The 14,888-nt window shown below is 50.1% G+C and overlaps 1 long non-coding RNA gene across 2 annotated transcripts, besides 4 other annotated features; it reads right to left on the reverse strand.

Moving 5' to 3' along the window:
• Window positions 253–753: an enhancer, noted in NCBI's record as "H3K4me1 hESC enhancer chr16:68541928-68542428 (GRCh37/hg19 assembly coordinates)". NCBI's record gives its function as "activates a minimal SCP1, AML or CMV promoter by ChIP-STARR-seq in naive H9 embryonic stem cells {active_cell/tissue: H9 hESC(naive)}" and the evidence as "EXISTENCE:reporter gene assay evidence [ECO:0000049][PMID:30033119]".
• LOC105371321 (uncharacterized) lies at window positions 4,337–8,245 on the reverse strand. 2 transcript variants are annotated; one of them, XR_933693.3, is made up of 4 exons: window positions 7,870–8,245; window positions 6,966–7,155; window positions 4,586–4,946; window positions 4,337–4,367 (listed from the first exon to the last, which is right to left on the reverse strand). It is a non-coding gene; the product is annotated as an uncharacterized LOC105371321 (long non-coding RNA). The 2 variants fall into 2 exon arrangements; XR_002957904.1 differs by having other exon boundaries at window positions 4,357–4,946.
• Window positions 13,103–13,182: an enhancer, noted in NCBI's record as "active region_11019". NCBI's record gives its function as "activates an Ori minimal core promoter by ATAC-STARR-seq in GM12878 lymphoblastoid cells {active_cell/tissue: GM12878}" and the evidence as "EXISTENCE:reporter gene assay evidence [ECO:0000049][PMID:35858748]".
• Window positions 13,203–13,252: an enhancer, noted in NCBI's record as "active region_11020". NCBI's record gives its function as "activates an Ori minimal core promoter by ATAC-STARR-seq in GM12878 lymphoblastoid cells {active_cell/tissue: GM12878}" and the evidence as "EXISTENCE:reporter gene assay evidence [ECO:0000049][PMID:35858748]".
• Window positions 13,293–13,342: an enhancer, noted in NCBI's record as "active region_11021". NCBI's record gives its function as "activates an Ori minimal core promoter by ATAC-STARR-seq in GM12878 lymphoblastoid cells {active_cell/tissue: GM12878}" and the evidence as "EXISTENCE:reporter gene assay evidence [ECO:0000049][PMID:35858748]".

A 14,888-nucleotide genomic window follows, 5' to 3' on the forward strand; every position in this document is an offset into this window, starting at 1 on the left:
ACTCCCAGGTTACACATTGAGGGTATTGTCTGAGTAGCAGTTGGCTGCAGAGCTGGAAATGCAAACATATTTTCATTCCTCCCTCCTGGTGTACTCAGGATATTTCATGGGATTCAAAAGAAAAAGTTACAGTCGAGAAAAAAAAGCACCGACAACCTGGAGGCAAAGTCAGTTGCTAATATTTCTAAATAGCTTTAAATCAAAGAAGAGGAATGTGACCACTTTAGTTAACTGTGCTGGGTTTGTGATGCGTTTTTCTCTATGGTTTAGGAAAGCAATTACCATGAAACAACCTACCTGTGCCTTCGTGTGATAAAATGTTCCCTCTAATAGGGCCAATATGCCCAGCAGTAGGTCTTTACAAGCACTCAATGTTTCTAGAAGCATTTTCACATGTGGGGCTCCTTGGTGTGCAGTGAGAGCCCATGACTCACTCCTTAAGGACCCGTCATAGTGCAGGGTTGTTGGTTTTGTTTTTTGTTTTTTGTTTTTGAGATGGAGTTTCGCTCTTGTCGACCAGGCTAGAGTGCAATGGCACGATCTTGGCTCACTGCAACCTCCACCTCCCAGGTTCCAGGTTCAAGTGATTCTCCAGCCTCAGCCTCCCGTGTAGCTGGGATTACAGGCGCCCAGAATGCCCGGCTAATTTTTGCATTTTTAGTAGAGATGGGGTTTTGCCGTGTTAGCCAGGCTGGTCTCCAACTCCTGACCTCAGGTGATCCGCCCACCTCGGCCTCCCAAAGTGCTGGGATTACAGGCATGATCCACTGTGCCACAGGGTTCTTAATAGGAGATGGGTTCTTCCAAGGAGAGGCTGGTGTCCAGGCTGTGAGTGGAGGCTCTGCTGCCCTGGTTCTGCCCGGAGGCCCATGTGATGAGCCCAGGGTCCTGTCCAGACTTCCACCCTCACACTCTTGGTCACCCCATCTTGTCCTCCCACCCACTGAAGTCTCCTGTCTTCTCACCCACTCCCCAAGTGCTGTCCTCCACGCCCTGGAAAGCAGGGGCCATCTGTTACAGACACATCCTCAGCCTTCCATCTCCTGCTTTGCAGCTGTCCCCTGCTGGCCACAGCTTCCCCACATCTCCTGGGAGTTGCTGTCCCTTCTCCAGACCCCCCAGTATCCCTGGAAACCACTGCTCCTGTGCCTTTGAACAATCCCACCCCCTTCACACCCCCCGTCCCCACCGCCCCAGTTTTTGAGGCTCCTGCTTGCTGTTCTCCCTTCCCAGCCCTTGCTCTGGGGCTTGGCTCACTTTTTCTCTCCCCAGTTTTTCCCAGGCTGGAGTGCAATGGGCGATCTTGGCTCACTGCAACCTCAGCCTCCCAGGCTCAAAACATCCTCCCGCCTCAGCTTCTCAAGTAGCTGGGCCCACAGGTGCACACCACTGCGCCCGGCTCATTTTTGCATTTTTTGTAGAGACAGAGTCTCACTATGTTGCCCAGGCTGGTTTTGAACTCCTGGGCTCAAGCCATCTGCCAGCCTTGGCCTCCCAAAGGGTTGGGATTACAGGCTGGAGCCACCACGCCCAGTCTGTTTTTTTTTTCTTCTTCTTCTTCTTCTTTTTTTTTTTTTTAGAGACAGAGTCTCACTCTGTGACTCAGGCTGGAGTACAGTGGCATGATCATGGCTCACTGCAGGCTTGAACTCCTGGCCTCCCACCTCGGCCCCCCAAAGCACTGGGATTACAGGCAGGCGCCCAGCCCTTTTCTCAGCTCAGGGACCTCCCTTCATCTTGGGTAACTGTGATGGGTAAGAACGACCTATGTCATCGTCCAGATCACAAACTTCCTTGGTCCCTCTCCGGGTGCTGCCAGGTCCAGCCCTGTACAGTCTTGGCCTTTAGGGTGGCACCTCTGCCATACCTAGCGCCCTGTGTCTCCCTCACCCTTGGCCACCACAGAGGCCACTGGTCTGCAGCCCCAGGGATTTCTTTGTCCCTTCATTTCTGGCTGCATTCTGTGGCCATCCCATTGCCTCCCTCTCAGGCCCCTGAATCCCATGGTCTCCATCCGTCGCCCATGATGCTGCCGTCTAAGGCCTCTGCCTGATGGGGAGCTGTTGCTTGGTGACCCCACCAACCGATCCCAGTGGGAACCCCCGCCCCACAGCCTCTGGCTCCTCAACTCCCACCCCTAGCCTCCATCTCCAGTTTCTAGGTCACAGTGAGACGCCAGTGTAGGCCAGTAAATGTGCAAAACCAGAACTTCATTTCCCACCCCAAATGCTGTCCCTCTCCCCCAGATGCCGGCAGCTGGCAGGGGGCGTCCTCCGAGAGCCTCCGGAGAACAGCCCGCTTGGCTCTGCAAGTTTGCTGTGGGCGGTGAAAGTATCCGCTGACAAACCATCCAACGTCGGTTTGGAAGCCCAAGGTCCCATAAAAAGTGGGACGAAAAAAGACCCGTTGCGAAGGCTGCGCTACGCGTCCAGCCGCCCGCGCTCCAGCTCACTGTCCTTGGGTAAGGGAGAGGGAGGAGGCTCGTGGACCAAGAGGACGCACTCGGATCTGGAGTTCTCCGGCCCGGACACCCACGGGCCACCGCGTCGAGGCAGCGCGAGCCCCGGGCGCCCCCTGCAGGTTGTACGGGCCTCAGCTGCGCAGCGCAGACGGAGGAGGGCGCTGGCGGTTAAGAACTCCTACTTGTCAACCGGAAAAACATCCCCCATAAAAAAACGGTCAAAGGGCCGGGACAGAAGCATTTGAAATGAAACACAAGGGCCGGGCGCGGTGGCTCACGCTTGTAATCCCAGCACTATGGGAAGCTGAGGTGGGCAGATCACAAGGTCAGGAGTTTGAGACCAGCCTGGCCAACATGGTGAAACCCCGTCTCTACTAAAAATACACAAATTAGCTGGATGTGGTGGCGGGCGCCTGTAATCCCAGCTACTCAGGAGGCTGAGGCAGGAGAATCACTTGAACCCAGGAGGCGGAGGTTGAGGTTGCAGTGAGCTAAGATCAGGCCATTGCACTCCAGCCTGGGTGACAATAGCAAAACTCTGTCTCAAGAAAAAATAAAAATAAAAATAAAAATAAAAGAAAGAAAAGAAAAGAAAAAGAAGAGAAAAGAAACACAAATGTCCAATAAACCATCAAGCTGATATTGACATGGGCAGAATCTGTTGCAAGCCGTGGCACAGGACAGACAGATCCTTTAATCTCACAAACAATGACACTAGGGAGAGGCAGATTGTTCCCATTCTACAGATGCGTAAACTGAGGCACTGAGAGGCTAAGTGACTAGGTCACGGCCACACAGTAAGTAGCAGGGCCAGAAACTCACCCAACAGCCTGGCACCAAGGCCTATGGCCTTATTCACTACATGAGACCAATTCTTAACATAATGAAAAATATACACTGGCTAAAACCAAAGTGTAAATGGAAACAAATTCATTCAATAAACCAAGGGAATCCCAGATGAGGGATCCTGCACCTATCGATGGGCCAAGCCAGGGCCTGGGTGTGTTTCCATCTGTGCTCCCTTCCAAGGTCCAAGGTCATGCTGTCTTACCAGACCTTGGAGGTACTTGGAGTTCAAAGCAAGCTTCGCTTCTGTGAGCCCCCTTGTCTGTTGGCCTGGGGTAGGAGGGCCAGGCTGTGGCATCCTTTCCTCCAGAGACAGAAGCATAGAGGTGAGGTTAGTGGGAGGTGGCCGCAGGGAGGTGAGCCCCATTCTTCCCCAGAGACTGCCATCCTCCTCCTTGCTTTGGTCAAAGGGCCATTTCCTGCCCCGTGGTCTGGCCTCATGATATCCCTTGTAGATTACACAACTCACTCTCCAAAAGCCGCTGTGTTTTATATGGTGGTGAACTGCTCTGTGGTTCCTGCTGAAAATCTTCTGTTGATTCCTGGGGTCAGCTGGGCTCCTTTGAGTCCTGCTTAGGCCACCTTAAGAAGGGCTGCAGGCTGGGAGCAGTGGCTCACACCTGTAATCCCAGCACTTTGGGAGGCCGAAGTGGGAGGATCACTTGAGACCAGGAGCTTGAGATCAGCCTGGCCAACTTGGCAAAACTTCATCTCTACTACAAATACAGACATTAGCCAGGCCTGGTCATGCGCGGCTGAAGTCCCAGCTACTCACCTGGCAGGCAGGAGAATCGCTTGAGCCTGGGAGGCAGAGGTTGCAGTGAGTGGAGATGGTGCCACTGCACTCCAGCCTGGGTGACAGAGTGAAACCCTATTTCAGAAAAAAATAAAATAAATTTTAAAATAAGCAAATAAAAATCAGATGAGCATGGTGGTACTTGCCTGTGGTCCCAGCTACTTGGGAGGCTGAGGTGGGAGGATCCCTTGAACCCAGGAAGTTGAGGCTGCAGCGAGCTTTGCTAGTGCCACTGCACTCCAGCCTGAGTGACAGAGCAAGACCCTGTCTCAAAAAAAAGTAAAGAAATAAAATTTTTTTTAAAAAGAAGAAGGGCTGAGCTTGCTTTCAAGATGAGTGCAACAAACTGGTCCAGACAGAGCCTGGACCAGAGTAAGGCCCACTCTAGGGGCCAGCTGGTTACTCCAGCGCTCTCCCAGAGTCACGTGGTCTCTCTCTGACCTCTTTCTCTCCCCCTTTCAATGCCTGCATCAGCTGCTAACCTCCTCATTGCTGGAGTTCCTCATTCATGTTCCTAAGCCAGCTCATCTGTCTTCCGCCAGGGCACATGATACATCTCTGGATTGGCCGCCTTGTGTCCTGGTTCCCTTGGGGTCTAATCAGCAAGGCCAAGAAGGGAGGGCACTGAGATGGCCGGCACAAGACTGTCCCTTCAGCGGGTACCGTGGGTGATGCACTGCACCATTAGATGGTCGGCTACAATCCTAGACTCTTCTTCCTGTTTATTCATGCTTGAGTTTCATTTGTTGACCTTTGTTATGGTTGCCTAGAGGTCTTTTAAGGGTACTTAAAAATGTCTTAGGTATCCACCCTGGTTCACTGTAGAGGCTGCTACCCAGAAACCTGGCAAGAGAGAATCATTCATAGTTAAACAAACAGGGAGTCATTTCTTCCTCCTTCTTTAGTCTCACCTTTCATTTAGAAAAAAGTAGGGAGACCATATTTAATAACCACCATCCATTAGATTAGATCAACAGGCTCCAAATAGTGCATTTCTTCTAGAAACAGTATCTCCTGGTCTCACAGGAGAGCATGTGGTCAGGAGGAAATTGAATAAAGCCTTTTAATCAGCCACAGTAGTATTTGAATCATTTAATTTAGAATCTGACAACCACAAATTACTTTATTTTTCTGGCCAATTTTAGCCAACCAGGAGAGCTAAGCCAGTCCAACTCATGCTTAATAAATCACCATCTTGCCTTATGGTGGCTAGTTTGGGGAAGAGGTTTTTCTGAGGCTTTTCAGAAATAATCAACAACAGGCCGGGCGTCTGTAATCCCAGCACCTTGGGAGGCTGAGGCGGGTGGATCACCTGAGGTCAGGAGTTCGAGACAAGCCTGGCCCTCAAGGTGGAACCATGTCTCTACTAAAAGCACAAAAATTAGTCAGGCGTGGTGGTGCACACCTGTAATCTCAGCTACGAGGGAGGCTGAGGCTGGAGAATCTCTTGAACCCAGGAGGCAGAGCTTGTGGTGAGCTGAGATTGCACCACTGCACTTCAGCCTGGAAGACAGAGCAAGACTCTGTCTCACAAAAAACAAACAAACAAACAAACAAACAAACAAGTAATCAAAAACAATCTCCCACTCCATGTGTGTCTGACATGAATTCTTTGACACATTTCTTTCCCATCTCTCTGTGGCTATAGAGTGAACCCTTGGAGTGGAGAGAGGTGGGACATGTGGCAAGGAGCTGTCATCTCTGCCGCTTGTGCTTTTTATTCCTGGCTCCAAGTTCTCATGGACACGAAAACAAGTCAATCAAATTAGACACCAGACATACACTGTCTCATGGCAGCTCACCCATTGCTGCCTCAGACTTCTCAACACCTGCTGAAACTCGTTCACTGGAAAAAATGAAAGAGGAGCTTCAAAAAATAACACCCATTGGACACCCCAGATGTGGCCTCTACTGGAGTCACATTAAATCACCTGTGAAGTCTTGTTAAAGGGCAAAATGCAAGACTCTTCCTTCAGAAGTAGTCCAATGTCAGCTGGGCTCGGTGGCTCATGCCTGTAATCCTAGCACTTTGGGAGGCTGAGGCAGGTGGATCAGTTGAGGTCAGGAGTTTGAGACCAGCCTAGCCAACATGGCGAAACCCCATCTCTACTAAAAATACAAAAGTTAGCCAGGCATGATGGCGCATGTCCATAATCCCAGCTACTTGGGAGGCTGAGGCAGGAGAATCAATTGAACCCGGGAGGTGGAGGTTGCAGTGAGCCGAGATTGCGCCACTGCACTCCTGTCTGGGTGACAAAGCAAGACTCTGCCTCAAAAAAAAAAAAAAAAAAAAAAAGGAAAAGAAAAAAAGAAATAGGCCAATGTCAGCTGCATCTAAGCCTCTGGCAGATGTTTCTTCTGACCTCCAGGTACATGTGGCTGGGCTCCGAAAAACCCGTGAGACTTCAGTCCATCCCTACTGCAAATGACAGCCATGTGTCTGCACTAGGTGGGTGCTCGCAGGCCGGCCTGCCCATTTTCATCCATCTATTCCAAGGGAACGAAATGGCAGAAAGGAGGCTGGGGATACAAGCCAGGACCTATGGTCTTCTTGGGGGCCTGTTGCATTCTTGAAGATACAGTACCCATAAGTAAGTGGCATTAAGAAAGGAAGAATCCAGTTCATACAAGAAATTTTAAATTTTTCAAGAAATCTAGGTTTTTAGAATTTCTATCTTGCTTAGGGATGTGTTGATGTGAAACCAGAACCACCCACAGCCAAGTTTACAAAGGGAATGGTGTCCCTGCAGAGACCCAGAGGAATCTCTGGGAGGGAGCCAGAAGTAAGAGCCTTGCCAGGCCTCCTGGGAACTGTCTGGTTGCAGGTAGCACCCCCCTGGCACCGGGCCTGGAAGTGCTCACCTGTCTCCTGGCCCTGGGTACCCTCTTCCCTGCAGACAGATTCTTGGTTCTTGCTCCTTGCAAAACTCGAGCTCACTCAAACAAGGCTCTGGGTTTATCAGTTCTGGTCATGACACTTGACCCAGTGTTCGAGGGGGTCTTCAAGAGACAGAGTAGCTGGGTGTGGTGTATGCCTGTAGTCTCAGCTAACCTAGGAGGCCAAAGCAGGAGAATAACTTGAGCCCGAGAGTTCAAGGCCAGCCTGGGCAACATAGTGAGAAATCTTCTCAGAAAGAGAGAGTGAAGGCCGGGTGTGGTGGCACACACACACACCTGTAATCCCAGCACTTTGGGAGACCAAGGTGAGTAGATCACCTGAGGTCGGGAGTTTGAGACCAGCCTGGCCAACATGGCGAAACCCTGTCTCTACTAAAAGTACAAAGATTAGCCTGGCATAGTGGCGTGTGACTATACTCCCAGCTACTCAGGAGGCTGAGGCAGGAAAATCGCTTGAATCCGGGATGCGGAAGTTGCAGTGAGGTGAGATCGCGCCACTGCAACTTCAGCCTCTGGGTAACAGAGCGAGACCCCCCTCAAAAAAACAAAACAAAACAAACAAACAACAACAAAAACAAAAAAAACAAAAAACAAAAAACCACACACACACACACACACACAGAGAAAGACAGAGAGCCTCATGCACCCTTGTGGAAGTCCCGGTTGCCACGGTGCCACTGTCCTAGAGGCATCTATCAAAAGGCCCCACCCAGAACCTCCTCAGAGGGCATCTAAGCAACTGCCTATAATTAAGAATAGAGGTGTGACTGAGATCTGAGGGAGGGCTGCTGTCTTAGTCTGTTTTGGTTGCTATAACAAAATAACCACAAACTGGGCAGCTTATATGCAACAAAAATTGACTTCTCACAGTTCTGGAGGCTGGGAAGTCCACAATCATGGTATCAGCAGAGTCGGCGTCTAGTGAGGGTCTGCTTTCCAGTTCACAGATGGCGCCTTCTCCTTGTGTCCTCATGTGGTGGAAGGGGTGAGCTAGCTCTCTGGAACCTGTTTTATAAGGGCGCTAATCCCCAGCATGAGCACGCTCCAACCCTATGACCTAATTACCTCCCGAAGACTCCCACCTCCTAATACAATCACATTGGTGAATTGTGGAGGGACATAAACGTTCAGCCCATGGCAGCTGCTGACACCCGCTCCTAAAGCCCCTTGACACCACCTGTTGGCACCACCACTGCCTACATCCCCAAATGCCAGGCCTGACTTTTCCAATCAACCTTGGCTCTTGTCCCTTACTCCTTGGACCCCTTTCTTAATTTCTGGTCCTGAGACATAGAACACAAAGAACAAGAGCTCTTCTCTCTCAGGGTTGTTGTGAAAATTAAACGAAATAAGAGTTTAAGAGCATAAACTGGGAAATAATAAAGATAATAGATTGTTTGACCTAGATGCAATTGTAGATCATAGAAAATATCGATGAATGTAGACCGGAGATAGGATCTTGTTCTAGAAAGATGCATACGTTTTGAATTGACACAAGAATAAAGTACATTTTAGGCCAGGCAAAGTGGCTCACACCTGTAATCCCTACGCTTTGAGAGGCAGAGGTGAGAGGATCACATGAGACCAGTTGTTCAAGACCAGCCTGGGCAACACAGTGAGATCCCATCTCTACAAAAAACCTTTTAAAAAATTAGCCAGGTGTGGTGTTGCACACTCATAGTCCCATCTACTCAAGAGGCCAAGGCAGGAGGATCATTTGAGCCCAGGAGTTTGTGGCTACAGTGAGCTATGATTGCACCACTGCACTCCAGCCTGGGTGACACAGGGACACCCCTATCTCTTAAAAAAAAGAAAGAAAGAAAACGAATTAGCTGGGCATAGTGGCACCCGCCTGTAGTCCCAGCTTCTCAGGAGGCTGAGGTGGGAAGATCTCTTGAGCCTAGGAGGTTGAGGTTGCAGTGAGCTGTGATTGTGCCACTTCACTCAGCCTGGGCAACAGAGTGAGGCCCTGTCTCAAAAAATAAATTAATTAAATAAAGCACATTTATTTAAAGAAAGAAATTAAATGACATATAAATAATATATGTATAGTCCTACAAACGTGACTCATAAAATATAACTATAAAACAATTTCTATTTGTCTCCCTTTGTCCTTTACACTGACCCTATGGAGTTTCTTTTCCCTTTGTCCCTCATTGAAATTTAGGCTAAGTCCCCTGACAACCCCTTCTTTGCCCCTTGGCCCAGGAGTAACCTTCAGTTTCTTTCTGCCAATGTCTTTTTGTTCTTCCCAGGAGGCTTTTTTTTTTTTTTTTTGAGACAGAGTCTTGCTCTGTTGCCCAGGCTGGAGTGTAGTGGCGCGATCTTGGCTCACTGCAGCCTCTGCCTCTGGGTTCAAGCAATTCTCCTGCCTCGGCCTCCTAGGTAGCTGGGGTTACAGGCGCCGGCCACAATGCCTGGCTAATTTTTGTATTTTTAGTAGAGATGGGGTTTCACCATGTTGGCCAGGCTGGTCTCGAACACCTGACCTCATGTGATCTGCCTGCCTCAGCCTCCCAAAGTGCTGGGATTACAGGCGTGAGCCACGGCGCCCAGCAAAATGTGCCTTTCTGATCTCCACCAACTACCTCCAGGGAGAATAATGTTCCCCTGGTTACATTGTGAGAATGGGTAGGCCAGAGAGGAGAAGGGTACCCCAGCCAGCTCTGGGAATGTGGTGGGTCTGGCAGTGTCCCAAGCAGGCACTGAACAATTCCCACATTGGCTACTCTGCTAGATATTTTGTCCCTTTAAGGATTTACTCATTGATCCCACTGAGAGAAGAATTATGAGGCCACTTGCTCAGTGTGACCAAAGGGGCCACAGAAGTGCCAGGTCAGGAGGCGGAATGAAAACCATACCCCAGAAAACAGAAGAGGAGGAGGCTGGGGAGGAAGGCGGTGGGTGGGTTGGGGGCAGGGAGGACCCTGAAGTCAGTTGCCTTGGGGAGAAACCCAGGGTCTGAAGGTAACCCAGACACTCTGTCCCCAGGGGGAGGGGTCTGGATCCCATTCTCCGAGTGGCCTGGGAGGAGACAGACGGTCTGGGAAGGCGAGGCAGTGCCCTAAGAACAGCCACACCAGCAAGCTTATCTCAGATGATTAAATGGCAGCAGATAAATTTAACTAAACGTGAGTAATGGGGACACAAAGGGGAAGTGAAGAGAAATAGAATATTTTAGCAACATAAGGAAATGAGAAGAAAATGACTTTGCAATGAAATGTCAAACTTCTGTGCCTGGAGGAGATGTAATCTGGTCATTGCAGGCCCAGGAGAGCGGGGGAGTCTGTAGTTATTTCAAGCAAATTTTAATTCACTTTAATTTAATAACATATGACCAAATACCTTTGAGAGAGTGGCAGGGGACAGAACTGGAAATCAGAGAGTGCCAGCCCTGTGAACTGAGGTGTTTCTTATTTGTTTTTTGCAAGAAGCTGTACTTATATTAATTCATTCATTAACCCATTCATTCAGGGCATGAATATTAAAGGCTGAGGATTAATAAAATATACAACTCAGCTTCCCCCCGGCTCACAGGAAATCCTGGCCAGCTAGGAAGACCGACAGATGAACAGAAAGTTGCAATGTAGGGGCCAGGTGCGGTGTCTTATATCTGTAATCCCAACACTTTGGGAGGCCAGTGTGACAGGATGACATGAGGCCAGTTAAAGACCAGCCTGGGCAACAAGCAAGATCCCATCTCTATAAAAAATACAAAAATTAACCGGGCATAGTGGGACACGCCTGTTGTCCTAGCTACGTGGGAGGCTGAGGCAGGAGGATTGGTTGAGCCCAGGAATTCAAGGCTGCAGTGAGTTATGATTTCACCACTGCACCACAGCCTGAGTGACAGAGTGAGGCCCTGTCTCAAAAAAAAAAAAAAAAAAGTTGCAATGTAGGGCCACATCCTGGGCCTAATACCTGGTGTTCAGTAGAAGTTTGTGGAATAAATACAGGATTGAAAGGGTGGTTTTGGGAAGGTGCCAGAAAGAGTGAACATCTAGCTGGGTCTTTTTCTTTTTGAGACGGAGCCTCGCTGTGTCGCCCAGGCTGGAGTGCTATGGCGCAATCTTGCTCACTGCAACCTTGGCTCCTGGGTTCAAGCAATTCTCCTGCCTCTGCCTCCCGAGTAGCTGGGATTATGAGCACCCGCCACCACACCTGGCTAATTTTTGTATTTTTGGTAGAGACGGGGTTTCACCATGTTGGCCAGGTTGGTCTCAAACTCCTGACCTCAAGTGATCCACCCGCCTCAGCCTCCCAAAGTGCTGGGATTACAGGCATAAGCCACTGTGCTCAGCCTTCTAGCTGGGTCTTGAAGGATGAATAAACTCACCAGGAAGGCAAGCAAGTCCAGGGCACATCCAGGGACTGCCTGTGACGAGGAGAAAAGGATCACGTGTAACAAGGAGATGCTGGTTACATTTGCTGGGCTGGGGAAGGTTGCCCAGGGAATGGGGACAGGGTGAGAAGAGGAAAAGGGCAAGGAGGGGCCCTGATGAGGAGTGACACTCAGGAAGGTAGACTCTGAAGAGAAGTCCTCCCCCACCCCTCAAGCCATCACTGAGATCTCTACCCCAGGCCAGCGCCTACTCATCCTTCAAGGCTCAAGCATCACTTCCTCCAGGAAGCCTTTCTGCCCAGCTCAGGCTGTGGTCCTCCCCCTTCCATGTGGTGCTCCCAGCACACTGCGCCACCAACCTTGTGACTGCCCACCTCCAGTCCTGTATTGGGTTGGCTTGTCTGTATGCTTGCCTGTCTCCCAACAGAGGCTGTATGCCCAGTTCTGGTGATGCTGCCCCACCCCATGCACTAGTGGCTCCCTGGATTCCGGCCGGGCTGTGCTGCCTATGGGATTCCATCACACAGATGCACGAGGCCTGTAAGGAAAAGTGGATCCCAAAGCCAGAGTCTGAGTCAAGGGTTGCTGGGGGTGGGGTGTGGACAGGGGGTTGGCCGAGGGAAGGGTATTTTACTCCACATCACATAAGATTTTTACACTCATTGCCAGGCACAGTGGCTCACGCCTGTAATCCCAGCACTTTGGGAGGCCGAGGCAGGTGGATCACTTGAGGTCAGGAGTTCAAGATCAGCCTGGCCAATATGGTGAAACTCCAGCTCTACTAAAAATACAAAAATTAGCCAGGCCTGGTGGTGCACCCCTGTAGCCCAGCTACTCTGGAGGCTGAGGCAGGAGAATCACTTGAACCCGGGAGGCGGAAGTTGCAGTGAGCCAAGATAGTGCCACTGCACTCCAGCCTGGGCGACAGAGCGAGACTCTGTCTCAGAAAAAAATAATAATAAATTGCACTCTCTCTTCTTTGTTTTTTTTTGTTTTGAGACAGAGTCTTTCTGTCGCCCAGGTTGGAGTGCAGTGGCATGATCTCGGCTCACTGCAGCCTCCGCCTCCCAGGTTCAAGCGATTCTCCTGCCTCAGCCTTCCAAGTAACTGGTATTACAGCGCCCACCACTACGCCTGGCTAATTTTTGCATTTTTAGTAGAGACGGGGTTTCATCATGTTGGCCAGGCTGGATAATCCACCCACCTCAGCCTCCCAAATAACTGGTATTACAGCGCCCACCACTACGCCCGGCTAATTTTTGTATTTTTAGTAGAGACGGGGTTTCACCATGGTGGCCAGGCTGGATAATCCACCCACCTCGGCCTCCCAAAGTGCTGGGATTACAGGCGTGAGCCACCGCGCCCGGCCAGACTTTTACACTCTCGAGAGGGACTTTGGAAGTGCCGTGGGTGACAGCCCTTCTGAAGTCCCCAGGACCCTGGCTGGAAGGGATGGGTAATTAGAGCTGTTGTGCCTGGGTGACAAAGCCAGAGAAGCCTGGTCCCTGGAGGAGAAACCGAAATGTCTGGAGAGGTGGGGCGGGTGGCCAGGCTCAGGGTAGAGAGAAGCAATACAGAGGCCAGGTAAGAGAGCCGCCCCCTCTCTGGACAGGGCTGCAGGTGAAATACGCCGCCCGAGGTAAAGGAAAGAACTGCAGGTTCCATAAGTGTCCGCTAGGGGGCTACCGAGGATACACCAGCTGGGTCGCCTTGGTAACCGCGGAGCTGCGAATGTGTTGTCCCCACGCGGTGGCGGGGAGGTACCAAGATCGCCCCAGGCGCGGCGTATCAGACGCTGGGGTGGGGGCGGGGGTCTGTGGCCATCAGCCCCAGGCAGGCCGTGAGCCCAGGCCAAGGTCCAGGCAGAGATGAAGGACCCAGCTTACTTTCACCTTCGTGTTTTCTCACCTCTGCTCAGGTCACACCTTCACTGGTTGAACTGGACTTAGCAGTTGTGGTAGGAAAAATTAAAATGGTGTTTTGGATCAGCCAAAACAGCTCCTGCATTGTACAGATGAAATAGCAACCCAGAGAGGGAAAGTCACTTGGAGATCACACAACAGCAGACCTGGAAACAGAGCGAAGAGAAAGTGGAACAGAATGGAAGAAAGCAAAGCAAATGAGCAAAGCCCAGTCAAGCAATGTGTTCACTTTATTATCATCATCATCATTATTATTATTATTATTATTTTGAGACAGGGTCTCACTCTGTCGCCCAGGCTAGAGTGCTGTGGTGCAATCATAGCTCACTGCAGCCTCAAACCTCGAACTACTGGGCTCAAGCCGTCCTTTCACCTTAGCCTTCCTCCTGTAGCTGAGACCACAGGCTCATGCTACCATGCCCAGCTAATTTTTGTATTTTTTGTAGAGACAGGCTCTTGCTTTGTTGCCCAGGCTGGTCTCGAACTCCTGACTTCATGTGATCCTCCGGACTCAGCTTCCCAAAGTGCTGGGATTAAAGGTTCGAGCCACTTCACTCAGCATTCTATTTTTTAAATTACCACTTTTGAATTTAAATAGTTTTAAGCATAAGCTTTTACCTGGTGAATTTAAGAAGACATAATGCTACAATGTAACTTAAGAATCCCTCCAGCAGATGACAGGCATCTTTTCCTTCCTATACCACATTCTTCCTCCTCCAACTAGTGTCTTTCTCTGGGCTTTAGTTTCATCTATACAATGAAGGAGCTGTCTTAGCTCTTCTCAAAAACCATTACTCTTTATAATAAAGCAAAGCCTCTGTGGTCCTACACTTTGGGAGGCCGAGGCGGGTGGATCATGAGGTCAGGAGTTTGAGATCAGCCTGGCCAACATGGTGAAACCCCCATCTCTACTAAAAATACAAAAATTAGCTGGGCGTGGTGGTGGGCACCTGTAATCCCAGCTACTCGGGAGGCTGAGGCAGGAAAATCACTTGAAACCAGAAGGCAGAGGTTGCAGTGAGCCGAGATTGCGCCACTGCACTCCAACCTGGGTGAAAGAGTGAAACTTCATCTCAAAATAAATAAATAAATAAATAAATAAATAAATAAATAAAGCCTTTATGTCATAAGCTTAGCTCAGTTAACTCAGCACACAGTTCGTGGGCACATAAGTGGGTAAGTTCCTCTTACAGACAGAACCTGCTTGGCTGTCAAATATCTCTGTAACTGGGCCCCTGGCAGGCCCAGCCTCAGGACAATCTAGACCAGGTTCTTGGATCCATGTATCTGGTTGTAATGTTGGAGGACATCAGCCATGAACAAAAACTATCTCGGCTATAATATTTGCAAGTTAATTAATTTGCAAGTTTATTTAAAAATTCAGATACAAGGCCAAGTGCCATGGCTCATGCCTGTAATCCCAGCGCTTTGGGAGGCCAAGGTGGGTGGATCACTTGAGTTCAGGAGTTTGAGACCAACCTGGCCGACATGGTGAAACCCCACCTCTACTAAAAATACAAAAATTAGCCAGGTGTGGTGGTGGGCACCTGTAATGCCAGCTACTCGGGAGGCTGAGACAGAGGAATCAATTGAACCTGGGAGGCGGAGGTGGCAGTGAGCTCA

This window comes from Homo sapiens, chromosome 16 (genome assembly GCF_000001405.40).
Source record: "Homo sapiens chromosome 16, GRCh38.p14 Primary Assembly".
NCBI lineage: Eukaryota > Metazoa > Chordata > Mammalia > Primates > Hominidae > Homo > Homo sapiens.